Source organism: Homo sapiens, chromosome 11 (genome assembly GCF_000001405.40).
Source record: "Homo sapiens chromosome 11, GRCh38.p14 Primary Assembly".
NCBI lineage: Eukaryota > Metazoa > Chordata > Mammalia > Primates > Hominidae > Homo > Homo sapiens.
The window spans coordinates 3200757-3224884 of NC_000011.10; the positions used below are offsets into that span (position 1 = coordinate 3200757).

General features: G+C 55.1%; 1 protein-coding gene and 1 long non-coding RNA gene across 2 annotated transcripts, besides 3 other annotated features; one reads left to right on the forward strand and one right to left on the reverse strand.

The window, feature by feature from the left end:
• Positions 1213-1868: an enhancer, noted in NCBI's record as "H3K4me1 hESC enhancer chr11:3223199-3223854 (GRCh37/hg19 assembly coordinates)". NCBI's record gives its function as "activates a minimal SCP1, AML or CMV promoter by ChIP-STARR-seq in naive H9 embryonic stem cells {active_cell/tissue: H9 hESC(naive)}" and the evidence as "EXISTENCE:reporter gene assay evidence [ECO:0000049][PMID:30033119]".
• Positions 17188-18057, reverse strand: MRGPRG (MAS related GPR family member G). The gene has a single exon (NM_001164377.1). It carries the CDS (start codon positions 18055-18057, stop codon positions 17188-17190), a length of 870 nt encoding a protein of 289 aa, NP_001157849.1.
• Positions 17576-22375, forward strand: MRGPRG-AS1 (MRGPRG antisense RNA 1). The gene is made up of 2 exons (NR_027138.1): positions 17576-17803; positions 20814-22375. It is a non-coding gene; the product is annotated as an MRGPRG antisense RNA 1 (long non-coding RNA).
• Positions 19153-20115: an enhancer, noted in NCBI's record as "H3K4me1 hESC enhancer chr11:3241139-3242101 (GRCh37/hg19 assembly coordinates)". NCBI's record gives its function as "activates a minimal SCP1, AML or CMV promoter by ChIP-STARR-seq in primed H9 embryonic stem cells {active_cell/tissue: H9 hESC(primed)}" and the evidence as "EXISTENCE:reporter gene assay evidence [ECO:0000049][PMID:30033119]".
• Positions 23229-24107: an enhancer, noted in NCBI's record as "H3K4me1 hESC enhancer chr11:3245215-3246093 (GRCh37/hg19 assembly coordinates)". NCBI's record gives its function as "activates a minimal SCP1, AML or CMV promoter by ChIP-STARR-seq in primed H9 embryonic stem cells {active_cell/tissue: H9 hESC(primed)}" and the evidence as "EXISTENCE:reporter gene assay evidence [ECO:0000049][PMID:30033119]".

Consider the following 24128-nt stretch of genomic DNA (forward strand, 5'->3'; position numbering starts at 1 on the left):
GAGGCAGGAACCAGGCTCAGCACAGCCCGGGCCCCCTGCAGGGAAGGGCTCTGGGGGTCTCCTAAGCTGAGGCGGTCAGAGGAGTGAGATTTGACTGAGCCCCTTGCTACCTGGCCCTCATGGACGGGGCGCAGCCCTGCTGGGAAGGGAGGAATGAGCCAGTGGCCTGCTTGGAAGGCCCTTGGGGCACCTGGGGCGGACACATGGAGGCTGTGAGGTCCTTGGCTCTTCTGAGGCCCCTCTGGCTGTGCGGGGCTGGGAGTCTTAGTTCTGGGGCAGGACCTGCCTCTAGGATCAACCTCCACCCAGAACAAAACCCCATCAGCTCCCATGCTGGGGAGGTGAAGACCCGCACAGCCCCTGGCCTCCTCTTCCTCTCCCCTCCCCCCACTGCCACCTTCCAACCTCAGGACACCTCTGCTGCCTTGCAGGCTTCCAGAGAGTTCTGAAGGAGAGTCCGGGGCAGGCATGGGGCTGCAGCAGGGGCTCGCTGGTGTGGGAGAGAGGAACGCTGGCCAGAGGAGAGCTGCAGAGTGAAGGCATGGAGGAGCCTCCTGGCGGAGCAGAGGATGGCAGGGGGTTGCTGCCGCTCTGTGCTCTCCACCATAGACTCCCAGAGCCTGAGAAACCGGGGGTCCTGGTGACAACCTCATCCAACCCGCTCAGTTCAACCATTTTCTCATGGCGGCAGCTGGGTCCTGGGTCTCGTGTCCCAGCCCTGGACCACATCACGTGAACCGACCGGTTGTCCCAGCCACGACGCACAGCTGCCTAGTGGTCCTGGTTAACTTTATGTCACTAACTTGCAAAGCGCCATGCTCAGAGCCTTAGGTACCACCTCTTCCTCTCCTCACAGCCTCCTGAGGGTTCTACGACAGGGCCGGTTCTCCCTCTCCACAGAAGAAGAGACCGAGGTCAGAGAGGCTCAATGCCCCGCCTGAGCCTGCACTGCTAGGACTCACACCCAGGTCCTGGGCCCCCGTAGTGTGTCCTCCGCTTTGAAGCAAGTTGGTCAGAGAAGCACACCCCTGGCAGTGGACTGCCCGGCAGAGGCATCAGCTGCTCTGCTGGGACCCTGTGAGGGCTCCTCTAGGGAGGCCACCTGCTGACCACGCTCCTGTAAGTGCCGGAGCACGGTGGTCTCCATTAGGCGTTGGGACCCCCCACTGGCTCTTGGGACTTGCAGCTGAGCAGATGCAACATGGCACGTGAGAGCAGAGTGGCTTCTGAGTGGCGGCTGGAAACCCAGCAGATTCAACCTGTAGGGCATGCTGTGCAAATGTGGGCGGACAGCGTGCAGCAGTTGCCATCGGCGTCCCTCCCAGCCTCTGGCCGTCGTGAGGCCAAAGCTCTGACCTCTTCCAGCACCCTGAGCATGAGGCCCCGAGAAGGCACCATCACAACCAGGGTCCTGTTTGTCATGACTACCTGGATTGCTCAAATTCCCATTTGACACAGGAAGACATGGCATCTCTGGAAATTGAGGCTGAGCTGGCAGGAGGGAGCTGGGATTCCCACCTGCACCTGCCCCTTCCCTGGGGATTTGCTGGTAGGACCTACAGGGACAGGTGGGGGGCTTGGTCCAGCATCGCCGCTCCTCATGCACCCCTCAGGAAAATGTCTAGAGCCATGGGGAGCTGACTATCCTTTCTTAGGAGCCTTTAGGCCAAAGGACAAAAAGGTGACACTGCCCCACCCCCACGACGCCAGGGACCCTGGACCTCAGGCCGAGGGTCAGCATCCCCATGATCTCAGGCCTGAGGCTGGCTTCCCTTGAGGGGTGTCGGCCTGGCAGTGTGTCCCAGACAGCTCAGCTATCTCCAAAGGCCCTGGGAAGCTGGGCTCTGCTGACCCCACGCTCTGCTCTCAGGAACCCCTGTCTGTTCCCAAGGGTCCAGCCAAGTCCCCTGCCAGCTCAGGGTGTGTAGGAGACCCCTCCCTCACCACCCCGATCTCTCAGCATAAACTCCATTCTGCCAAGGCAATATTAAGTCAAATTGAGAAATGCCCCCTTTCAAGTCTGTTTCTTACAAAAAAAATTGTGAGCAAAAGAAGTCAAAAGTCAAAGGCACAGGTGGTGAACAGATGCTTCAGAAGTGCCCTTGCAAGTCCTAATCTCTCATGTCCCACATCCTGCCTGGTGGGCGTCCCGCCCCTGGAGGGAGGTTGGGCAGTCCCCTCACCACCACGGCGGGCAGTGCTGCCCTGGAGGAGGGAGCAAGGCACCGGGATGTGGGTGCAATGCAGCATCCCAGACCTGGGGGCACCTCGCGATGCTGCCCTGGAGCCCGCTGCCTGCCCTGCCTGCCCGAGGGGCTCCAACGAGGCTGAACAGTGTTGGGGGTCCGCGGGCGAGCGAGGCGTCCAGAGCTAATGCCCTGCTGGCCGAGGTGCCAGCCCCGGGGAACTTTGAAGAAGTCAGCAGAAAACTGGTTGGGGCAGGGTTGGGGGGCCCTGCACTCCCCGGCAGAAGGCAGAAGCTGCTCCCAGCCCCCTCCCCACCACACGATTCCAGACCCTTGAATGCTTCCTCCACAGCGTCTCCCTCCGACACCACCGGCAGTGGTGGCCCGTGGAGAAAGGAAGCCCCCTCCACAGATGGCGCGAGGCTCCCAGGCGGTGGGCTGGGGGTGCCCGGAGGCGGCACTCACCGTGCAGCAGGGCATGGGGGCGAGGCTGGGGTCCCTCCTCCGGCCGGTCCTGTGCCTGCTCTGCTCTGCTGCCTGTCCGGGTGCCGGAGGCACGACCGCTCCCCTCCAGGCCGACGGGCTGCTCCAGACGGAGTATCCAAGACTTTCTGGGCACGGGCGGGTGTTTTGGGAGAGCAGGCCAGGCTGGGGGTGGGGGTGGGGGGTCACTGCAGGCGACAGCGGCTCTCAGGGCGTGCCCCGGAGACGCGCATCCCAGCTGCACCTACAACTGCCCCTGCGTGCGCTCGCCTGGGGCTGCCAGCTATCCCTCCCGCAGGACCTGCTGCTGCAGCCGCCTTCTGGGCGCTAGGCGGACCTGGCTGCAGCCGCTGCAGTCCAGGAGCTGTGCACGCTGCTGTTACCTAACACCTCGGAACGGCTCCGTCTCCGCGGCGGGCTCGCTTAGGGATTGCAGTAGGAAGCAAACGCTGCATGGAGAAACACCAGGAAGACCCCCTGACAGGGCACGGCACTGCAGGACCACCCATGGCCTCTCACCTCAAGGAGGGGTGCGGCAGAGCACAGAGACGGTGGGCGACAGCCTGGGGTCACACAGCAAGTTAGCTGCCTCCCCAATTCAGGCTTTCTGTATTCTGGAATTATTCCCCATCGCCTGGGCACTCGGCTCCCTCCCTGCCCAGCCCCCACTCTGCCCCCCAGACAGTCCCCATGTTCACCTTTCCCCAGGGAATGCCTGTAGCTTCTAGGAAGTGTCTTTTGGGAGGCAAGAGCACTGAGCCCGGGCCCAGGGAGCTGCAGGCACTCAGGCACCCAACACACAGGTGATCCCGGAGGCTGCAGGCACCCAGGCACCCAACACACAGGTGATCCCGGAGGCTGCAGGCACCCAGGCACCCAACACACAGGTGATCCCGGAGGCTGCAGGCACCCAAGACACAGGTGATCCCGAAGGCTGCAGGCACCCAAGACACAGGTGATCCCGGAGGCTGCCCGTGGGTGGGGGTGCGGGAGGGCAGGTGGACAGGCCATCTCAGAGCCCTCTCCCTTGCACCTGGAATGTGTCAGCTGAGCCATCCCTGGCCTCTGCTGTGGGGATCTCTGCCTCCTGTGTGCCAGTGTGGGGCAGGGCCGGCCTCTCCTTAGCACAGCTAGATCCCCTGCTGGCCCAGATGCTGGGTGACCACCTCAGCGTGCTGTGGGAAGTGGCCACAGCTGCGGGAGCCAGGGCTGCAGGGGGTTCCGAGAGGGGTGCCTAGCCCGGCCCCCACCCCCTCTGCCAGGCACCATCCTGAGAACACTGTGTGAGCAAGGTGCTCAGACCACTCCCGCGCCCATCAAGGAGGGAGCAAAAGGCCTTGGACACCACGGCCTGGGTTTTGCCACCGGCCACTCAGCGGCCCTGTGCTGACCTCACGAGGATCGGGGGGTGATTTCTGTAAGGAAGTGTAGCCCAGTTCATGGTGTGTAGTCAAGCTCGGCAAGCGCAGTGACACTGTGACACGCTTTCTCTCATTCAGTCTCACCAGAACACTGCCTGCCATCCACCCGGTTCCCCATTTGACAGATGTGGACACCAAGTCTCCATATGGCTCACTGACTGGTCCCAGGTCCCTGAGGGAGGGTGGCTCGGGGGATGGCAAGCTTCACAACCCATGTGCACCTGAGCTGGGGCAGCTAAGGCAGAAGGAGGCTGCTCTGTGGGGCTGGCTGTGGGGAGAAGGATGGAGTGCAGGTGAGGGGCTTGTACATGTCATCATCTGTCCTTTCGGTTTTCATCTTGTCCATCTTGGGGAATCGTGGCATTCTAGGACATTCTGCACTCACTGGCCAGGGCCAGGGGCTCCCCGCATCAGCCACCGAGAGTGCCTACGTCCCTGCACAGACTCTCCCCCGTCTGGCCTCAGCAGAGAACCCTGACAGGACAGACGTCCTGTGCACTAATAGAAGTCAGAGGGGCCAGCTGGAACCTTCCAGATGCCACCAACTTTACCAAGCGGAGTGTGGGTCATCGCCAGCGTCCTGCCCACTGATAAGGAGACAAGGTGGTTGGGGGCACCACCCAGTGGTAACGAGGGGCGGGGAATGCAGTTTGGGCAGGTCTGAGGGACAGGGGCTTGGACCACCACACACACAGCACAGCTGCCACATCCTGAGCCTTTTCACACCCACTGCAGCCATGCAAACTCCGTGGCAGGTCCTGGGGCCGGGAGCTGCTTGCAGTGTGGCTTTCTCTAGGGCTTGCTGGCCCTGAGCTCCAGAGTTCGAAGTTCTTGCAATGGACTTTAGCCACAGTGTCCTCCGTGATTCAATGGACACAGAGGATGCATTTAGTTTATGGAGGAAGAGAGAAAACCTGCCAGTCTCAAGAACAGGGGATAACAGGGAGATTCACTGTGATTTTGGTTTCCTTTTATTCAGCTGAGCAGACATTTTATTCTCTCTGTGGGAGAGAATGAAACCACCCTCAGAGAGCCACAGGGTTTGTGAGTGGCCCTTAGTCAGGCTGCGTGTGGCTTGGGAAGTTTTCACTTTCCAGGGAATTCATGAGTCTGAGCCAAGAGCGAATATTTGGCTATTCTTCAGGCACCTTGTCCCCTCCCTTTCTCCCCTCCCCTCCTTTCTCCTTGGCTTCCACACTCCTCCCTTCCTTCCTTTCTGCCCCCTCCCTTTCTCCGTGATTCTCTTCTCTCCTCCCTCCCACTTCCTTCCCCATCCCCCTCCCCCCCTTCCCTTTTCATTTCCCTGGCTCCATCCCCTGCCTCCTCTCACCTCCCTCTCATCCCCTCCCTTCTCCCTCCCCCACTTGTGTTGGGCAGTGGCTGAACCCCTGGCAGGCCTGCACCCAGTCCTGGGAGCCCCAAGGTAGAAACATGGCCCCTGACTCCAGGTGTACCTGAGCTTGGATACAAGTGAGTACACCTGCCAGGGAGGCTGCTCTCAGGGCAGGATGTAGAGACTGATGGCGTCAAAGCAGGGGAATTTGGAGACCTGCCCAGTAGAGGAGGTTGCTCGGGTGTAAGGAGCGTGAACCGAGGTGCATGGAGGGTGGTGTAGGGCTGGCTGTGGGCCGAGGCGTGGAGTGTGGAGGAGGTATGGGTGGCTTGTTTTCTCCCTCATCCCTTTTTCCTTGGCAGAGAGTTGGGAATACTTTGAGGAGGATGTGGAGAAGGAGGAGGAGTGACAATGATGATGATGGTTATGGTGATGGTGGTGATAATGGTGATGGTGCTGATGATGGTGATGATGATAATGGTGGTGATGGTGATAATGGTGATGATGGTAATGATGATGGTGATGACGGTGGTGGTGGTGATGGTGATAATGATGATGATGGTGGTGATGGTGATGATGGTGGTGGTGGTGATGATGGTGATAATGGTGATGATGATAATGGTGGTGATGGTGATGATGGTGATGATGATAATGGTGATGATGGTGATAATGGTGATGATGGTAATGGTGATGGTGATGACGGTGGTGGTGATGATGGTGATAATGATGATGATGGTGGTGATGGTGATAGTGGTAGTGGTGGTGATGGTGGTGATAATGGTGGTGGTGGTGATGATGGTGATGTTGATGGTGGTGATGGTGATGATGATGATGGCAGTGGTGGTGATGATGGTGATGGTGATGACGGTGATGGTGAGAATGGTAGTAATGATGATGGTGATGGAAATGATGATGGTGGTGGTGATGATGATGGTGATGGTGATGATGGTGATGTTGAGGATGGTGATGGTGAGGATGGTGATGGTGAAGTTAAGATGATAAGAGAAATGGGTGCTATGTCAAGCACCTGGTGTGAGGTGGCATCACTGGCATTGGGCTTTCCTGGAGGTCTAGTTGGTCCCCCACTACCTCTCAGCACAGCAGCTGGGGTGACATTTTGAAAACCTGCTCTTCCCACTTCATGGTTTCTGGCCAGCCCTGGTCCCAGCCCATGTGTGGGACCTGCCATTTAGCTCTCCAATTTGGTAGCTCCGTCTGTCTCACCTTACCCCCAAAGTGTGATGTTAATGGTGAAATTTCAGATCTTATGAAGGACAGTGGAGGCGATATTTTGGGGGTGGGGATAGCCCTATCTGCAAATCAGCTCCAAAAGGCCACACTGTGCAGGGGTTTGGCCCCTCTCCCTGTGCATATGCTGAGCAGCCTCGTGATGACATGCTGAAAAGGAGGAAAGCTTGCATGGCCAGGCTGGCTGGCTTCAGAGAGGACAGCTCCATCTGTCTGCTCCGGGTTCCTGGCCTCTTTGGCGAGACTGGGACTGGCTCCCTACAGGACACTGTCAAGTATTCTTATTCTGTGTCTCTGCAGCCGCCTCCCTCCTCCTGCAGGCAGCCTTTTCCAGGCCATTAGCCCAGCTACGGGCCATCTGCCACCCTTGCTGAAGCCCCACAAGTTTGTCTGGGGGACAGGGCTGGGACAGCATATCTCTAGGAGGCCTGAGCCTACTACACTCCTCAGGCCCTGGGAGACTGAAACAAAGTCCTCGTCAGAGTCCTGGGGTGTGTGGCTCTGAGAATTACAGATGTCCTCACATACCTGTCAGAGGAGGCTGTGGGTGACACCTAGGTCCCCAGGCACCGCTGCTGAGCTGCTGTTTGACCTTGGGCCGGTCTCACCCTGCCTGGGCCTCAGTTTCTCCATTGCAGAAGGATGGGGTCCAGACCAAGGGGGATGAATTCTTACCATGGCAGGTGAATTCAGTGCCAGACACATCTTGTTATCTACTCATTATATCCACAAAGAAATAGGCCAGCTCCAATTTTTTCCTGAAACAAGAGGCTTCTGGATCTGTTTTTCCCCATTCTCACAAAAAATGGTGGCAAAAAACCCACTCAATTATATCTTCAATCTAGAAATGAACAGTGCGGTGCCATGATGGGTGACCTGGGACTCAGGGTGACAGTAGAGAAGGGCTCACGGGGGTGGAGGGCATGCCTGCCTGAAGCCCCAGACTCTCTCCAACTCCTCCTTTGTGGCCAGGTGGCATTGAGGGCCAGGTCTGCCAGCCGCTGATATTCAGGAGGGCTAGAAAGCTGGATTTTAATGTAAAATCTTCTTATTGTTCAGTGCTGGCAACTAACGCCAAAAGACTTTAATTACTGAATGCCAGCCAAGCGCATCTGCAGGCTCCACTGGTTTGGTCTGTAGGTCAACAGTTGCTGACCTCTGGCCCAAGGGGATGGCCCGTGAGGGCCTGCCCTTTGCTGTGATGCATGTGGTGAGCTCTCTGGCCAAGCAGGGTCTCTATGATGCTCACTAGGGATGCCAGGTGGTCTCAAGGTATGAAACGTCTTCTGGCAGCAGCTCAACACAATTTGGAGGAGTTGGGTCTTTACTCAGGGCCCCTGCTGTGGGGCCTGTAGCTGTTGGAGGGGAATCCAGTGCAGACAGATGGGTCTCTGGGAAGCTCTAGCTGGCTAAGGTCAGCCAGTAGGTGGGATGCCAGGACGCAGTGCAGGTGGAATGACACAGGGCCTCCCTGGACTTTAGAACAGTTTCCCTCCAGATCCAGCATCTATTTATTCTGCAAACCCTCAGCTCCTGCCTGGGACTGTGCTTACATACAGGTGTCCACATAAGGAAGAAACTGACTTGGCAGTGTGGCTGCCTGGAGGAGGAGGCAGTGACAGACAAGGAGAAGGGAACGGGAGGATGTCCCAGGAACAGCCTGTACAAGGCACCCCTAAACCCAGCCTGTCATTAAGTCCTGTGAATGCACCTATAAATTGTAGGCCTGGATGACTCCCTTTTATTCTTCTGACCATAACCAACATGCCTGAAGGCTCAGTTCATGCCAGCTTCCTGTAAACCACCTGTGCCGTGAATTCTCTCATTTAACCCTCACACAGCCTATGAGATAGGTACAGATCTGCAAACCCTTGGGGACCCATGTGCTTTGGAAGTCAAGAATATCCTTTTCATTTTAGAAAGGGTAACATGAGTTCTGTTTCTGGTAATGGTAGGGTAGCTGACATCAGAGCAGTCCTGCTGTTATTAAATAACTGTCAACTCTGGGAAGAATCAAAAGCAACCGTTTGAAGATACAGGAGAGCAAATAAAAGAAGGCAGAAGCTGGAAAGGACATGGTCTGTATGAATTTCCTGTTGCTGATGTCACAAATGAACACAAACTCAATGGCTTAAAACAATATGCCTTTATCATCTAACAGTCCTGGAGGTCAGCAGTCTGAAACCAGTCTCACCGGGTTAAAACCAGGGTGTCCATGGGGCTGCACTCCCTCTGGAAGCTCTAGGGGAGAGTCTCTTCTTTGCTTTTTCCAGCTTCTAGAGGCTGCCTGCCTTCCTTGGCTCATAACCCTGTCCTCACATCACTCCAGTCTCTTTCTTCCATCATCACATCTCCTCCTACTCACCCTGATCTTCTGCCTCCCTCTTACAAGGACGCTTGAGGTTACCCTGGGCCCACCCAGATAATCTAAAATCATCTATCCATCTCAAGAGCCTTAATTTAATCATATCTACAAAGTCCCTTTTGTCATAGAAGTTCACATTCACAGGTTACATGGGTTAGGACATGCATATGTTTTAAGGGGGCTTTGTTTTTAGCCTACCACGAGCATATATGTTTATAGTTGTGGTATCTCTTGATGGACTGACCCTTTTATGATGGTATAATGTCCTTGTTTGTCTCTAGTAACAATTTTTTTAAATTAAATTTATTTAGTCTGATATTATTATAACCATTTTAGCTCTCTTTTGGTTGTTGTTTACATGGAATATCATTTTATATCTGCCTGTAATCCCAGCACTTTGGGAGGCCAAGGTGGGTGGATCACAAAGTCAAGAGATCAAGACCATCCTGGACAACATGGTGAAAACCATCTCTACTAAAAATACAAAAATTAGCTGGGCATGGTGGCATGTGCCTGTAGTCCCAGCTACTTGGGAGGCTGAGGCAGGAGAATCACCTGAACCCAGGAGGTAGAGGTTGCAGTGAGCTGAGATTGCACCACTGCACTCCAGCCTGGCAACAGAGCAAGACTCCATCTCAAAATAAATAAATAAATAAATAAATAGAAATAAAAATTTATTGAGACAGGCTGGAGTGCAGTGGTGTGATCACAGCTCACTGCAGTCTTGATCTCCTGGGCTCAAAGGATCCTCTGGCCTCAGTCTCCCAAGCAGCTGGGACTATAGGTGTGCACCACTGCATCTGGTGAATTTTTTATTTTTTGTAGAGACAAGGTCTCACTGTGTTGCCAAGGCTGGTCTCAAACTCCTGAGCTCAAGTGATCCTCTTGTGTTGGCTTCCCAAAGTGCTGGGATTACAGGCATAAACCATTGTGACCAGCCTCATTTTATATCTTTTTACATTTAACTTATTTGTGCCTTTCAATCTAAAATGTGTCTCTTGTAGGCAGCATATTGTTGCATCATGAAAAAATGCCTATTCTGGTAATCTGTGCTCTCATATGGAGTGTTTCTATATTACAAGTGGGTGAACATCTTGGTAGGGAGCATTATGCAGCCTACAAGAAAAGATTTAAAAAAATTATCTAAGCTGCTTAACTCAAAAAGCTAGAAAAAAAGAACAAATTTAACTTTCATGATTTAGACAGAAAGATGTAATAAATACAGATAAACAGAAATTAAATAGAAAACAGATGAACACTATAGGAAAAATCAATAAAAGTTGGTTCTATGAAAAGATTACTAAAATTGATAAAGCCCTAATGAGAATTTTCAGGAGAAAATGCAAAGTACCCATAGTAAAAATAAAAAAGAGATATGTGAATTTGATAGACAATAAAAGATTAATAAGGGGATATGGTATACAAGTTTATGCTAACAAATTCAAACTCAGATAAAATGAAGTGGACAAATTCCTTGAAAAAGAAAACTGACACAAGAAGAAAAAGAGAATCTGAATAGCCCTATATTTGTTAAAGAAATTGAAATTGTGTTTTAGAACCTGTTCACAAAAACCCAATTGGCTTCATTGGTGAAATAATATTGGTTTTATCCAAACTCTTACACAGAGTTGAGCAAGAGGAAATAATTGATGCCCAAACCTGAAAAGGACATCACTAGAAAATAAATGAGACACCAACCTCTCTCATGAACACAAATGCAAATACCCATTTCAAAATATTCATAAATCAAATCCACCAATATATAAAAAGGATAATATGTCATGGCCAAGTGGGGATTGTCAGGCCTCTGAGCCCAAGCTAAGCTATCATATCCCCTGTGACCTGCACGTATACATCCAGATGGCCTGAAGCAACTGAAGATCCACAAAAGAAGTGAAAATAGCCAGTTCCTGCCTCAATTGATGACATTCCACCATGGTGATTTGTTCCTACCCCACCCCAACTAATCAAACGACCTTGTGACATTCCTCCCCTGGACAACGAGTCTCATGATCTCCCCACCGAGCACCTTGTGACCCCTGCCCCTGCCCGCAAGAGAAAACCCTCTTTAACTGTAATTTTCCACTACCTACTCAAATCCTATAAAACTGCCCCACTCCTATCTCCCTTTGCTGACTCCTTTTTCAGACTCAGTCCACCTGCACCCAGGTGATTGAAAAGCTTTATTGCTCACACAAAGCCTGTTTGGTGGTCTCTTCACATGGACATGCGTGACAGGGACTATCCAAGGAATACAAAGTTAACATTTGAAAATAAATCAGTGCAATTCCTCCCATTAACAGACTAACAAAGACAAACTGCATGGTCGCATTAATAAATGAAGGAACAAAAAGTTGATGGAATTCAATACCTATGTGTGATTAAAGGAAGTCAGAAAATTGGGAATAGATGGGAATCATATCACTATGATGAGGCGCACATACAAAAAGCCTGCAGCTAACATGTTTAATGGCAAAACATTGAGCACTTTCCTGAAAGGTTGGGAATGAGGTGAGGATGTCCACTTTTACTATTTCTATTAACATTGTATGGGAGGTCTTAATGAGTGATATAAAACAAAGAACAAAAAGTGCAAAGACCAGAAAGGAATTAGTAAAATTATTTCTAATTATTATTATTTATAATAACTATTAATCATGTGTTAATTATAATTATTAAAATTTTCCTAATTCTTATATTTATCACTATTAATCATGCATCATTTTAATTATTATTCACAATAATTATTCATTATTCATTATTTACAATAATAATGTCATGCAAATGATTTGATTGTATACGTAGAAACTCCTAAGCAGTTTTCAAAAAGACTATTAGAATAAGTGAATTCAGCAAGTTCACAGGATAGCTGTTAGATAAATATAAAAAAATCAAAGTCAATATACAAAAATAATACAAACTATCAATATACAAACAATATACAAACTATCAATGAATATTGGAAAAAGCAAATAAAAGATTATTTTTACATAGCATTGAGAAACCTTAAATAACTAGCAATACATTTTACCTGAAATGTATAACACACCTACAGTGAAAACTACAGAGACAGAAATGAAAGAAGACCACAATAAACAGAGAAAAACCATGTTCATAAATTGGTAAACTCAATGTTGCCAAGACGTCCGTTCTCCATAAGTTGATCCAGAGTAACTGAATAGAGTCAATGCTATCCCAGTCAAAATCAGTAGACATTTGCACAAACTGTCAAGCTGATTCTGAAATTTATATAGAAATGTAAATCTTGAAGAAGAAATATAAAAGTGTAGGAGTAACACCACTTGATTTCATAACTTAATGTAAAACTGCAGTAATGAAGACAGTGCGGTGTTGATAGAAGGACAGTGAAATAGAGCAGTCAACAGAATAGAGTCCAGAAGTCGACCCACCCTATACAATCAGTTGATTTACAATACAGATGCCAATGCAATCCAATGGGAAAAGGGGTTTTACCAGAACAACTGGATATGCATGGGAAAGAAACAGACAAAATGAACTTTGATCATCATCTCTCACCACCTACATTTAATCTGAGATGAACACAGGAAATGCAAACCTGGGAGTTTACCCATTGGCCCCTGGGTGTCTTTTTTCCATGCTTGATACATCCCTATTCCCATCCCAGGGTCAGCTGCCAACAGCCCCCTCTCAGGATCAACAGCCCCCTCCCAGGATCCACAGCCCCCTCTCAGGATCGACAGCCCCCTCTCAGGATCAACAGCCCCCTCCCAGGGTCCACAGCCCCATCTCAGGATCCACAGCCCCCTCTCAGGATCCTGATCTTTCTGTTCTTCTTGGCAGGTGCCTGTGTTTTATTTTCCTACCCTTCCCCTCTGTGAAGGCTCCTGACTTCTTCCTTTCCTGATCGGACCTTGTTCCACTGCAAATTCTACGCTACGTCTCCCCCCAGACCTCAGATCCTCTCCTGCAGCCTTCCTGCCATTGTCCTCTTTGGAGGCTGCACCAGCTCTTCCCTCTTCCCTGCATTGCTGCTGCTGCAGCAGCTTCCTGTGTGTCCCCTGCTCAGCCTGGACCCCCACCCCCGCTGACCCCCTCTCAGTTGTTAGTTTTATTTCTTTCATATACGTCTGATATTATCCCTCTCCTGCTTACAATCCATTTGCAATCCCCCACAGAGCAACCGAGGAAAAGCCACGCCCCTCGTCACAGCCCTTTAAAGCCACGCCCCTCGTCACAGCCCTTTCTCATCTCCCCTCGGTGTCTTTGGCCACCTCAGCTTCCTTACCGGGCTCTAGCATCGGGGTTCCTTCTTCTTCATGGTGCCCGGGTTGCGCCTCCGTACCTTACCCTGCCTTGGCTCCGTTTCCCTGGGAGGGTCTGCCTTCCCTTCAAGGTTCTTAGATTGACCTGACTGTGCTAGAGACGGTCACTCTTTCTTCTGCACCCACACTGCCCTTGGAAGTCGCAGACAACACACTTCCAGGAAGCCTCCCCTGCGTTCCGAGTGGGGACATGTGACCCTCCTGCTCCTCTAACATTAGGACCACGGGATGATTTGAGGTCCAACTGGGCCCTCGCCAATAAAGGGGACACTAAGGCCACTGGGCCACAGCCATGAACTGGGAGCGCTGAGGGCAAGCTGGGACAAATGGCGGCTCCCCAGCGTTTCTGTACACCACGTGCACCCTCAGCACACTGTCTTTGAATTGTGTTTATGTCTGTGTCTTCTCCAGACGTCAAGCTCTCTGGGGACAGGGGTCATAGCATGGTGGGTCCACATCTTGAGCCCTAGGCCCAGTGCCCAGCATGGAGCTAACTTAGTGATGTTTGTGAACCCAAAGGGGAGGGAGAGGGCCTGGAGCACTGGACTCTGCTGTGAGAAAACCTGGGCCCCTCTTCTGATGATCTGCTCAGCTTTCAGGTCAGTGGTCAGGACAAGAGTGGAGAGGAAGCTTCCATAATCCAGGACCAGCCTGGTCTGATTCCAGTTAGCTGCACTCTGTCTTCGCCACATCATTTATTCATTTGACCACATCTCTTTCAATGGTCCATCCATCCATCCATCCATCCATCCATCCATCCATCCACCCACCCACCCATCCACCCACCCACCCATCCATCCATCCATCCACCCACCCACCCATCCATCCATCCATCCATCCATCCATCCATCCACTTATCCATCCATCCATCCATCCATCCATCCATCCATCCATCCATCCATCCACTTAGCCATCCATCCACTTGTCCATCCATTTGACAACAACTCATCAAGCCGCTTTACCTGCCAGTCCCAGGGAGACAGCAGCAAGTCAGCTGCTGGCTCTGTGCCCTCATGGAGCTCATCTTCTAGGGAGACACAGACACTAAAGAGGCAAACACAGGAGCGAATAAGCAGGGATGGGAAGCACATGACACATTGGACTGTGCTGGCTAGGGGTGGGGGCTGCTTGGGCACAGTGGTCACCGTGGGTGCTGACAGGGCAGGTGCACACTAGAGGAGCTGAGAATTCAGCTTCTGCTGCCAGGAAGCCCTGGGCATCACAGAGCAGGACAGACAGTCACAAGGACAGGCCCCTGAAGGTTGGGCAAGACAGTGATAGGGGCAGGGACAGCAGAAGGCAGCGAGGTGGGTGTGCCAAGGTCAGGGCGGGCGGGACACACCTGGAGGTCTGCAGAGGTGGGCCAGGTGATTCATTTGGCCTTGAAGGTTTGGGCGGGCCGCCCTCTGTGGAGACCTGGATCCCTGCCATCCGGGCAAGGAGACCTTGCCCTGATGTCTCTCACAGACCTGGGCTCAGAGCAGTCAGGTGACACGCTGGAGGTCACTCAGCCCGAGAAGAGCGGGCAGGACCGGAGCGAAGCTCCATCTGGGCTGTAGTCCAGCTTTTGCGGCTGCCTGGACCCAGACCAGCCCAGGGCAACCTTGTCCTTCCATGTGGCTGTAGCTTCTCCAGGTACAGAATTCGACCTGGTTGTCTTTGGGCTCAGCAGTGGGTGCCGGGGCAGAAGCCCCTCGCTCTCCATCTGTCTAGACTGGGCTGTTTGTCATGCGCCCCAGACACCATCAGCAGCCAGCCGCCTTCCTGTCCTGCTGCACACAGATGGATGGCCCCATAGGGGGCCCTGCAGCTATTTCCTGGGCTGGGAGGATGGGACAGATCCTGTAGGTTTCACCTCTGAAACTGTCCCCACCCTTATCCCATTTCCAGGTCTTTCAGGAAGGAGGCCACACAGCTCCTGGGGTCTTGTGTGAAGTGTCACAAGAATGAACAACCCTTCCCACCCTGCCCTCAAAGCCTAAGCCTCCCCCTGCCACCAGGGCTCAGGCTTTCCCGTCCCCCTGAGCCCCCCAGATGGCCTTTAGACCAACAGTGCTCACACTCCCGTCCCTCTGAGCCCCCCAGATGGCCTTCAGACCAACAGTGCCCACACTCCCATCCTCCTGAGCCCCCCAGATGGCCTTCAGACCAACAGTGCCCACACTCCCTGCTGAGCTTCCAGTCCTGAGAGCACGGTCTAGGGAGAACTGGCAGCGGGCAGGCGGGCACGGGACTTGGCGTGGCCAGAACACATTCATCCCGGGGAAGGAAGAAAAACCAGCAAAGGTGCGTGCCTCTGGGTTGGGGGACTACATGTAAGCTTTTCTTCTTTCCAGTTGTTAACCTTCTTCAAAGTTTCCATAAACGAGCAACGTTTTACTTTTCTAGTGGAAAAAGAACAACTTTATGCAAAGGCAGCTGCAGAATGTCCCACCCGGCACCAAGAGCACCCATTGAATGCCTTCATTTGGGCAAAAAAGAAAATTTCTGCAGGTCTTTATTTAAAAAAATACATAACTGGAGTGCTTTTCATCAAAAATGTCCCCATTTGGGTGGAAAAAAATTTTGGCGATTTCTCTTTTTAGTATTTTCCGTAGGGCTTGAATGTTTTAAAAATGACCAGAAAGTATTTTATTTCATGGTCAGAAAACACATCAAATGGTTTGCACTTTGGAAACTTGGATCCCCTTCCTTCCTTCCTTCCTTCCTCGCTTCCTTCCTCCCTCCCTCCTCCCCTCCCCTCCCCTTCTCTCTTCTCTTCTCTTCTCTTTCTTTCTTTCTTGCTTTCTTGCTTTCTTGCTTTCTTGCTTTCTTTCTTTCTTTTTCCTTCCTTTCTTCCTTCCTTTCTTTCTTTCTTTCTTTCTTTCTTTCTTTCTTTCTTTCTTTCTTTCTTTTTCCTTCCTTCCTTCTTTCCTTCTTTTCTTTTCTCTCTCTCTCTTTCTCTCTCTCTCTGTCTCTCTCTCTCTCTCTGTCTCTCTCTCTCTCTCTCCAAAGCAAACACTTGGGGCAAAAGCTCCAGATGATCCAGGGCTGAGGAGGGAGGGTGAGAGCAGAGGTGGGAGACGGGAGCAACCCGCAGAGAGCGGATGGCCCTGGGGACGCAGGAGAGGCCGGGTGGGGACCAGTGTGGGAGGGGATGGGAGGGGACCGAGGGGATGGAGGCTCCTGCATCCGCCGGCCCACGGGGCTGGGTCTGTTCTGTGCAGAAGCAGCACCACCTGGTGGCCTCTGCTGGTGACATCAGGCACCTGCCAGTCCTGGGCCTCAGAGAGGGGGACAGAGCCCTGGGTGTGGTCCCCGCGGGGTGGGCAGGACAATGATGGCTGAGCAGGGCGGGGAGTAAGGAGTAGTTCCACCTCAACTCTGTAGGGGGCGAATCAGAGCCTCAGCCAGCAGGTGGCATGGACGGCGCCCACCTAGCCCAGGAGTCCGGAAGCCTGGGTTCCAATCCGGCCACTGTGGGCTGGTGGCTGGCTCTGTTTTATTGTGCAGTTTTCTCCCCTGTGACTCAGGTGCAGCAGGGTGGGGAGGGGCCGGGTAAGGGGATCTGGGCTGGGCCTGGGGGCGTGGTGCCTGTCCTCACCCCTATTCAGGAGGCTTCTCCTTTCTCTCTCCTTGCCTGACCTCTCTCCAGCTCCATTTTCTGCCTCCCTCATCCTCAGCAGGCCTGGCTGGGGGGTGGTCAGGGCCAAGTCTCTCCAGCTGTGTCCAGCCCTTGGGTGCTCAGGGTAAGAGCTAGGTGGTGGGCGGGGCTCCTCCTGGTCCTGAAAGCATCTGGGTGTGGGGTGAGCGAGGGTCGGTGGGGGTGGGCACCTCCTGGCAGGCCCTGTGGGCGGGGCAAGCCCACTTATAGGAGACCCATGGGCAGGGACTGTCCCCTGGCACCCAGCTCGGCGCCCTCCCCCAGGGCCCTCCGCAGTACCGACCTCAGCGGCTCCCGCTTCCCGGGCTGTCGGCCCAACCCCGAGTAGATGAGGGGCTTGGAGCTGCTGTTGACGCAGGCCAGCAGCGTGGCCAGCGGGGAAAACACGGGCAGCAGGAAGTTCAGCAGGGGCTGCAGGCTCCAGTAGAAGACCGAGGGCAGGCCACAGAAGAAGAGCAGGAGCAGCGCGCCCAGGACGATGCCGTAGAGCCTGGGCCGCGGGCGAGTGGAGCAGCAGGTCACCCAGACAAAGAGGACCACGCCAGCCGTCCAGGCGACGCGGGCCAGCACCAGGAACCAGGTGACGCTGGCCACGTGGTAGCGCGGGCAGACCAGGGGGCACGCGCTGTTGCGCAGCAGGCCGCAGGCGTTGGCGGGCAGCGGCACGGCCGGCAGGGTCGGGGTCCACACCAGGGCGCAGAGGACGGCCGAGGCGTGTCTGGGCCGGCAGCCCTGGTAGCAGGCGGGGAAGAGGTCGGAGAGGCAGCGCTCCACGCTGAAGGCCGCCAGCAGCCAGAGCCCCACCGCGAACCACAGGAAGGTGAGCACGAAGTAGAGTGTGTCCTGGGCGCCCAGGGCAGCCTGAGCCACGGAGAAGCCCACACGGCAGGAGAGGAACAGGAAGTCGGCGGCGGCCAGGTGCAGCAGGTAGATGGAGAAGGGGCCCTTCTTGATGCGGAAGCCGAGGTTCCAGAGCACCAGCCCGTTACCTACCGGTCCCCCGAGGCCCACGATCAGCGTCAGGTAGAAGACCACACTGTCGAAGGTTCTCCAGAGGCCGAACAGCCCAAACATCCTGGCCGGCTCAGAGGGTGCTGGCGAGGGACCTGCAAGATGGAGACAGACATGGTCCTCAGGAGTCTTTTGTGCCCCCGCTGGGGGCACAGGGAGTGGCATCCATGGCCCTGCAGGTGCCCTCTGGGTGCAGCCCCTGGACCACCCTTCCCAGCGGCGGGACCTCAGCCGGGTCTCAGCCCTCTGCACCTCAGGTCAGGCGTGCCTAATGCCTCCCCATACCTGAGGGCAGGCCCTGGGCTCCTGGCAGGGTGGACTAACTTGCTGAAAAGATGTCCATGTCCCTCATGGATGTGGTGAGGGTGATGCTGCACCCTCCACCGTGTGCCAGACAAGGGTCTGCAGACAGAGGGAACGTGCATGGGGAACCCACGTGTGGCGCCTTCCTCTTCCCCCAGAGGTGGGAGCTTCTCCACGGTGGACCCTCATGGGGCTCCCACCTGGTGAGCCTAGACCAGCCTGCTGGCGAAGTCCCCTCCCCGGAGGGTCTCTGGAGGTGTCCAGGGAGGTGCCCAAAGGCAGAGGCTGCAGGTGGTCTGAGGAGGAGGGAGGAGGGAAGATGCGGTGTGAGGAGCTGGAGGGAGCCCCCAGCCTTCCCTGTGCACTCCTGGCCTAAGCAGAAGCTGAATCCCGGGGCTCATGCTGCCGGCGGTGCACTCAGGAGGCTGCTCTGAAGCCTCAAGCCAAGAGAGGGGCTTTGGTGATGGTGGCAGGGCCAGGGGGCCTCTCCAGGAGCCACTAACACAAGGGGAGGGGCAGATACAAGTGGCCACTTGCAAGGAGCGAGGCTGAGAGTCCCGAGGATGTTCTCAGAGTGCGAGAGAGATTGGCCACCGGAAGCTGCGCTGAAAGGCAGAGGGTCTCAGAGCAGCCCTTCCCTTTCCAGCCATCCCTCCTCCCCCAGGATCCACATGGGTCATGTTCTTAGTCCTGGGAGATGCATCAGGACCAGGCTCAGCAGTGGCGGCGTCAGCGGTGAGAGACACGGGAGAGAGAAGAGAGATAGAGAGAGACAGAGAGACAGGGAGAGACAGAGATGTAGACAGACATTGAGAGACAGAGACAGAGAGACAGAGACAGAGAGCTACAGAGAGATAGAGACAGAGATAGACACAGAGAAACAGAGATGAGACAGACTGTGTGTGTGTGAGAGAGAGAGAGACAGACAGAGAGAGAGCCATCAAGCCGCCAACACACACCTGGAGCCCTCCCTGTCACATCTTTGCCTGGGCTGTGTCCCCTGCCCAGACAGCCCTGAATACCTCTCCCCTGACCCAGGTCCCACCCTACTTCAAGGTTTTGCTCCTTCTCAGGGGCCTGCAACCCCCTGCAGCTTCCTCCGACCCCCGTGAGCCCCCTGCCTCATGGCTGAGCATCCCCCGGCACCTTCTTTGTGCTTGTCATTGCCCCTAGTCAGGGGTTGGGGAGTGCGGCTCGGGCCTTGGCTCCTGTGCCTTGCCATGGCCGGGCACACGGTGATGGTGGCCTGTCCTCCGAGCCCAACCAGGGGCAGTGGGAGACCTCGGCCGGGCCCTGGCTTGTGGTGGTGAGTGTGGTGACTGGGGGTGGGGTGGTGGGGTGGAAACACACCTCCCCTCTCTGAGCCTCAATTTCCTCAAGGAGGAAACCAGACTCTCCTGGCTGTGCTCTGGCTCTGGCTCAGAGTCTGAGGCTGGGGGTGAGGCCGGCGCTCAGGCCCCCCATGCTGGGGTGAGGTTAGGCTCTATTCCTGGAGAGAGAGTTACAGAGAGGAGTGGCCCGGCGGCAGGAGGGGGCATCTTCATTGTTATCAGAACAGGTTCACCTGCTCGGCCCGCTCCAGCGACGCCCTTGAGCTCTGGTGTCCACACATTTCAACTTAGCCGGAATTCCCACCCGCATCCCGCCCTGCCTTCCCTTCCCAAAGGAAATCCAAACATCCCAGCCAGCCCCATCCACCGGGGAGCCAGGCTGAGAGCAGGGGCCACTGCGGAGGGCAGGGGAGGGTGCCAGTGCCTCACCTGGGGGGTGCAGTGGGGGCAGGCGGAGCCTTCTCACCTGTGACGAGGCTGCCCCCAGCTCTCTCAGGCCCTTCTGTGCTCAGACCAGCGCTCATTGCCTGGAGGCTCCTCCCGGTCCCTAAATCCTTTCATGTCCTCTGGGACCCAGCTGGCTGGACGGAGGGCACCCGGCCAGTTCCCTAGAAGTGACAGGGTGTGGCACTGTTCACAGAAATTGCAGGAATGAGCTAAAACAAAAAGTTGTCAGTGTGGGCAGGCCTTTCCTTCCTCCTCAGCCCCTCTGGCAGGGGAACTGAAGGCACCAGGTCAGTGCTTTCCACCCGCTCCCACCTCACCTGGTGCATGGAGGGGAGGGAGAAGGAGAATGGAGACCCTCTGTGCCCAGTGAGGCTGGGCCACCTTCCGGGTACTCCACTGATGTTGGGCTGCTCCTGCTAGTCTTTGGTTGGCTGTGGGCACAGGGGGCCTAGAACTGTGGACAGGGGCCTGGCTGTGTGGCCTTGAGAGAATAACCCAACCTCTCTGTGCCTTGGTTTCCCCCTCTCACTGGACTGACCGTTTATGGACAGCTCGAAGCCTGGGTTCCCAGGCTTGGGACTGGCTCTCCTAATGTGTCAGCCGACCACTGCGTCTGTGGGTGGTCTGCAGGGGCGGCCCCCACCCCTTCCTAAGGAGACCCCCTCACTGTCCATCTGTTTGCCTCAGAGCCTGGGCTCCCAGCCGTTGACGGATTGTTTTCCGCATTTTGCTCTGCAGAACACTGGACAGTAAGATGTTCTTGATAAGAGAGTTTTTCCTTCCACGGACTGCGTTCCGCAGCTCCTGGGTGGGGTGCAGAGTGTGTCAGCTCAAGCCAGAAATTCGGTCGTAAAGATGCTGTTTCTCTTCACGTTTCTCAAATGGACTTGGCTTCGGAAATCACTTCTGCAACACAAACCAGCAGCCTGTGCAGCTCTGGGCGGGGGCATGCCGGCTACCCAGCTCCCGGCATTGTTGCACATGGCTTTGAAACGCACGGCACAGCTCGTGTGGCCCAGGGGCACCTCCTGCCACCCTGCCTGCTGCCTCCACCCCAGATGCCGGTCCTCGCTGCTCTCCGGGACCTCTCCCGGCGTGGCTCCACCTCCTCCTCGAGGTCACCGTCCAGGCCTGTTTCAACTAGCGCCTCCAAGCCTTGCTTACCTGCCTCCTGTTTGGGTGAAACTTGGAGCATCTCTATTAACTTAGTTGGTAGCTCCGGTCACCTGCAGTCACCAGGGGCCCAGAGGGACGCACAGAGGGAGACCGGCTGCCTGGGTCCCTCCTGGCTGCCTCACCATCAGGGGCGGGATGAGGAGCTCAGCCTCAGCCACAGTGCGCAAGGTGAAGAGTTTTGATCCCTCGTACATCCTCGAGCCAGGCAGGGCGCCCGGCTTCTATCCCAGGTAGCAGAGTCTCCTATCCCAGGTCTCCGACGGCGACCGCAACCCTTTGCCCGTGGAGGACTTCCCCTGTCTAAGGGCCATTGGGAGTGGGATGGCCTAATTTCTGGGGTCGCTTTCTATTGGGCACTTCAAACAGTGCTGGGCAAGGGCAGTCGTTTGAGGCAGCTTGGAGTGAAGTTCTTAGGGAGGAGGTCCTGCGCAGCTCGGCCAGCCCCGGTCAGGCCCAGGCAGCCACCAACCCTGGTTTCTCCATCACCCCTGACCCCTCCCACAGCCCCTTCTCGTGTTTGCCCACCGTCTAGGCCATGCTTCCACTTTCTCACCTGGCTGGGTATCCCCTATGGGGCACGGGTGTCGGCCCCGCCGAGGCTGGGCTTTGGTCTGTCTTGTTCTCTCTGGGAGGGGTCTGGTGCGGGTGGAATACGTGGAGGGAGCCTCCGTGGGGGGAGCAACTGCTCCCGGTGTTGCAAGGAGGACAGAGCCAATGCCCGCCCCATCGTGTCATGGCCGACGGTGGCCTCAGAAGATGTGTCCACGTCCCCAGTCGCTGGAAGCTGTGCACGAGCTCTTCCTGGAGAAAAGGCCCTTGGCAGATACAAGGATTTTGAGATGAGCTCGTCCTGGAGTATCTGTGTGGGCCCTAAATGCAATGACAAGTGTCCCTATACAGGAAAGGAGAGGAGGGACACTGGAGAGCAGGGGGAGGCCACGTGAGGTTGGAGGCCAGCAGGGGTTACACAGCCACAGGCCAAGGAGGGCCAGAGCCACCAGAAGCTGAAAGAGATGAGGAAGCACCTTCCCCTGGAGCCCTCAGGGAGCGCGGCCCTGCTGCCACCTTGATCTCAGACTTCTGTCCTCTGTAACCAAGGGAATAAAGTCCTGCTGTGTGAAGCCATCCGGTTGTGGTTATTTGTTCCGGCTGCTGCAAGAAACGACTGCAAAGCAGGTGGCACACTGGTACCGTTTAGGTGAGCGCTCTGCGTGAGTGCGTGCTGCTCCACTGGGCCTCAGGTGGTGCCGGTGCCATTCTAGGAGAGCGCTCTGAGTGAGTGCCGGCCACTCCACCCAGCCTCCCACGCGCCCCCACAGCGCCGTCTGAGACGGCGACCTTGTCATCCTTGCCTGCAGATGGGGAAACCAAGACGTCGGAAACTTAAATTGCTCGTCCAGGTGGTGCAGACGCCCAGGTGTGGTTTGTCTGAACACAGCTGTCCTGAGCTTGTCTGATGGTTTGAGCTGCGGGCTGGGGCTGCGTGGCGACTGTGCAGCTCACCCTACAGCAGCTCTGTGGCCCTGGGCAGTGTCCTAGTCTGAAAGTGTGGGCAATGATTTTATCACCTCGGATGTGTTGTGGGGACTCAGTGGTGATCTATGTGGGGGCTGGCTGGGGGCCACTGAAGAGGCAGGAACAGTGCAGGATTCAGCCGGTTCGCCAGGAACCCGTCTCCATTCACGTGGTTTCCATGCCACCACCATCCTATCTGACCGCAGCCCAAGGGAGAACACAGGATTTCCCAGGTCCCCCAGGTCAGATGGAGAGTGGGGACTGAGTGTCCAGCAGGGTCCTGCGCACCCTCACCCCCATCTGTCTTCAGAGGAGCTCGACAGCGGGAGTGCTTTAATATAGGCATTATTATTATTATTATTCAGATAGGTGAGGCCGCCAGGTCAGGAGATGCTGCCGTTGAAGAGATGGTTGCTAACTCATAGCTCCCAGGAGGAGGGGAGGGTGACCCCATGGGGCCACATAGGGCAGTACTGGGTTGGTCAGGAGGCAGAGGGAGAGGGGAGGGGGAATGTGGATGGGAGCGTCCTCATAGTTTCTGGAGGAAGGAGTGGATGAGGCAGCCAGTATAAGTGGGTTTAGGGTTGGCAGCTGGAACAATTTCAGAGCTCTGGGTCCTAGAGCCTGTCCCTGGTGGTCTGGAATCTGGCCCTGGGGTGATGAGGGCAGGGATAGTGGCTGGGAGTGTGGGAGCTGGATAGAGGAGGGGCTGGGGGTGGGTCTGCATTTGAAAGGTGAGCTCATGAAGGCGTTGTCACTCTCTAGCAATTGACTGACCCTGGGAAGGGCCGTCTCTTGGGGTCTGCAAGGCCCCAGATGCCAAAGCTTCAGAACACAGAAAAGAAGATCCGGGTGGAACAGGGAGTACCAGGAGCTGTGGAGGCTGGTGGACTGGACCTGAGGCTGCCCTCCTTCTGCCTCCCTCCCTCCTTCCTCCCAGGTCGGAGTCTTGCGTGGCCTGGAGCTAGGGGCTCTCACAGGGCTGCTGCTCCCTCCTTCCACCAGGGGACAGAGGATTCCGGGCTGGGAGCACCCAGCTTAGAAACCAGAGACCCTCGGTGGCGGCCAACACTGGGCTCTGCTGTGTCCGGCGGTGGCTTCTGCCCGGCCCTCTCAGTCTCTCGAAGCCTCAGTTTTCCGCGGGTTACTTGGGAAGTTCATGTGACATTATGCATGTTACATGTGTGACCCAGCACCCAAGGCAGAGTAATGACTCGGAACGCACTGGCTCTGCTGCTAGTGAGATCCAATAGCTAAAAGAAAATCACCCCTTCATTAGAATAACCAGGTCTGACACGCTTCAGTGGCCACACATGGGGGTGGTGGGGAAGCGGGAGGCGGAATGGACAGGAAACCCCATGA

Coding starts and splice junctions, on each gene's coding strand:
- MRGPRG (NM_001164377.1), bottom strand. CDS start 18,057: ATGTTTGGGCTGTTCGGCCTCTGGAGAACCTTCGACAGTGTGGTCTTC.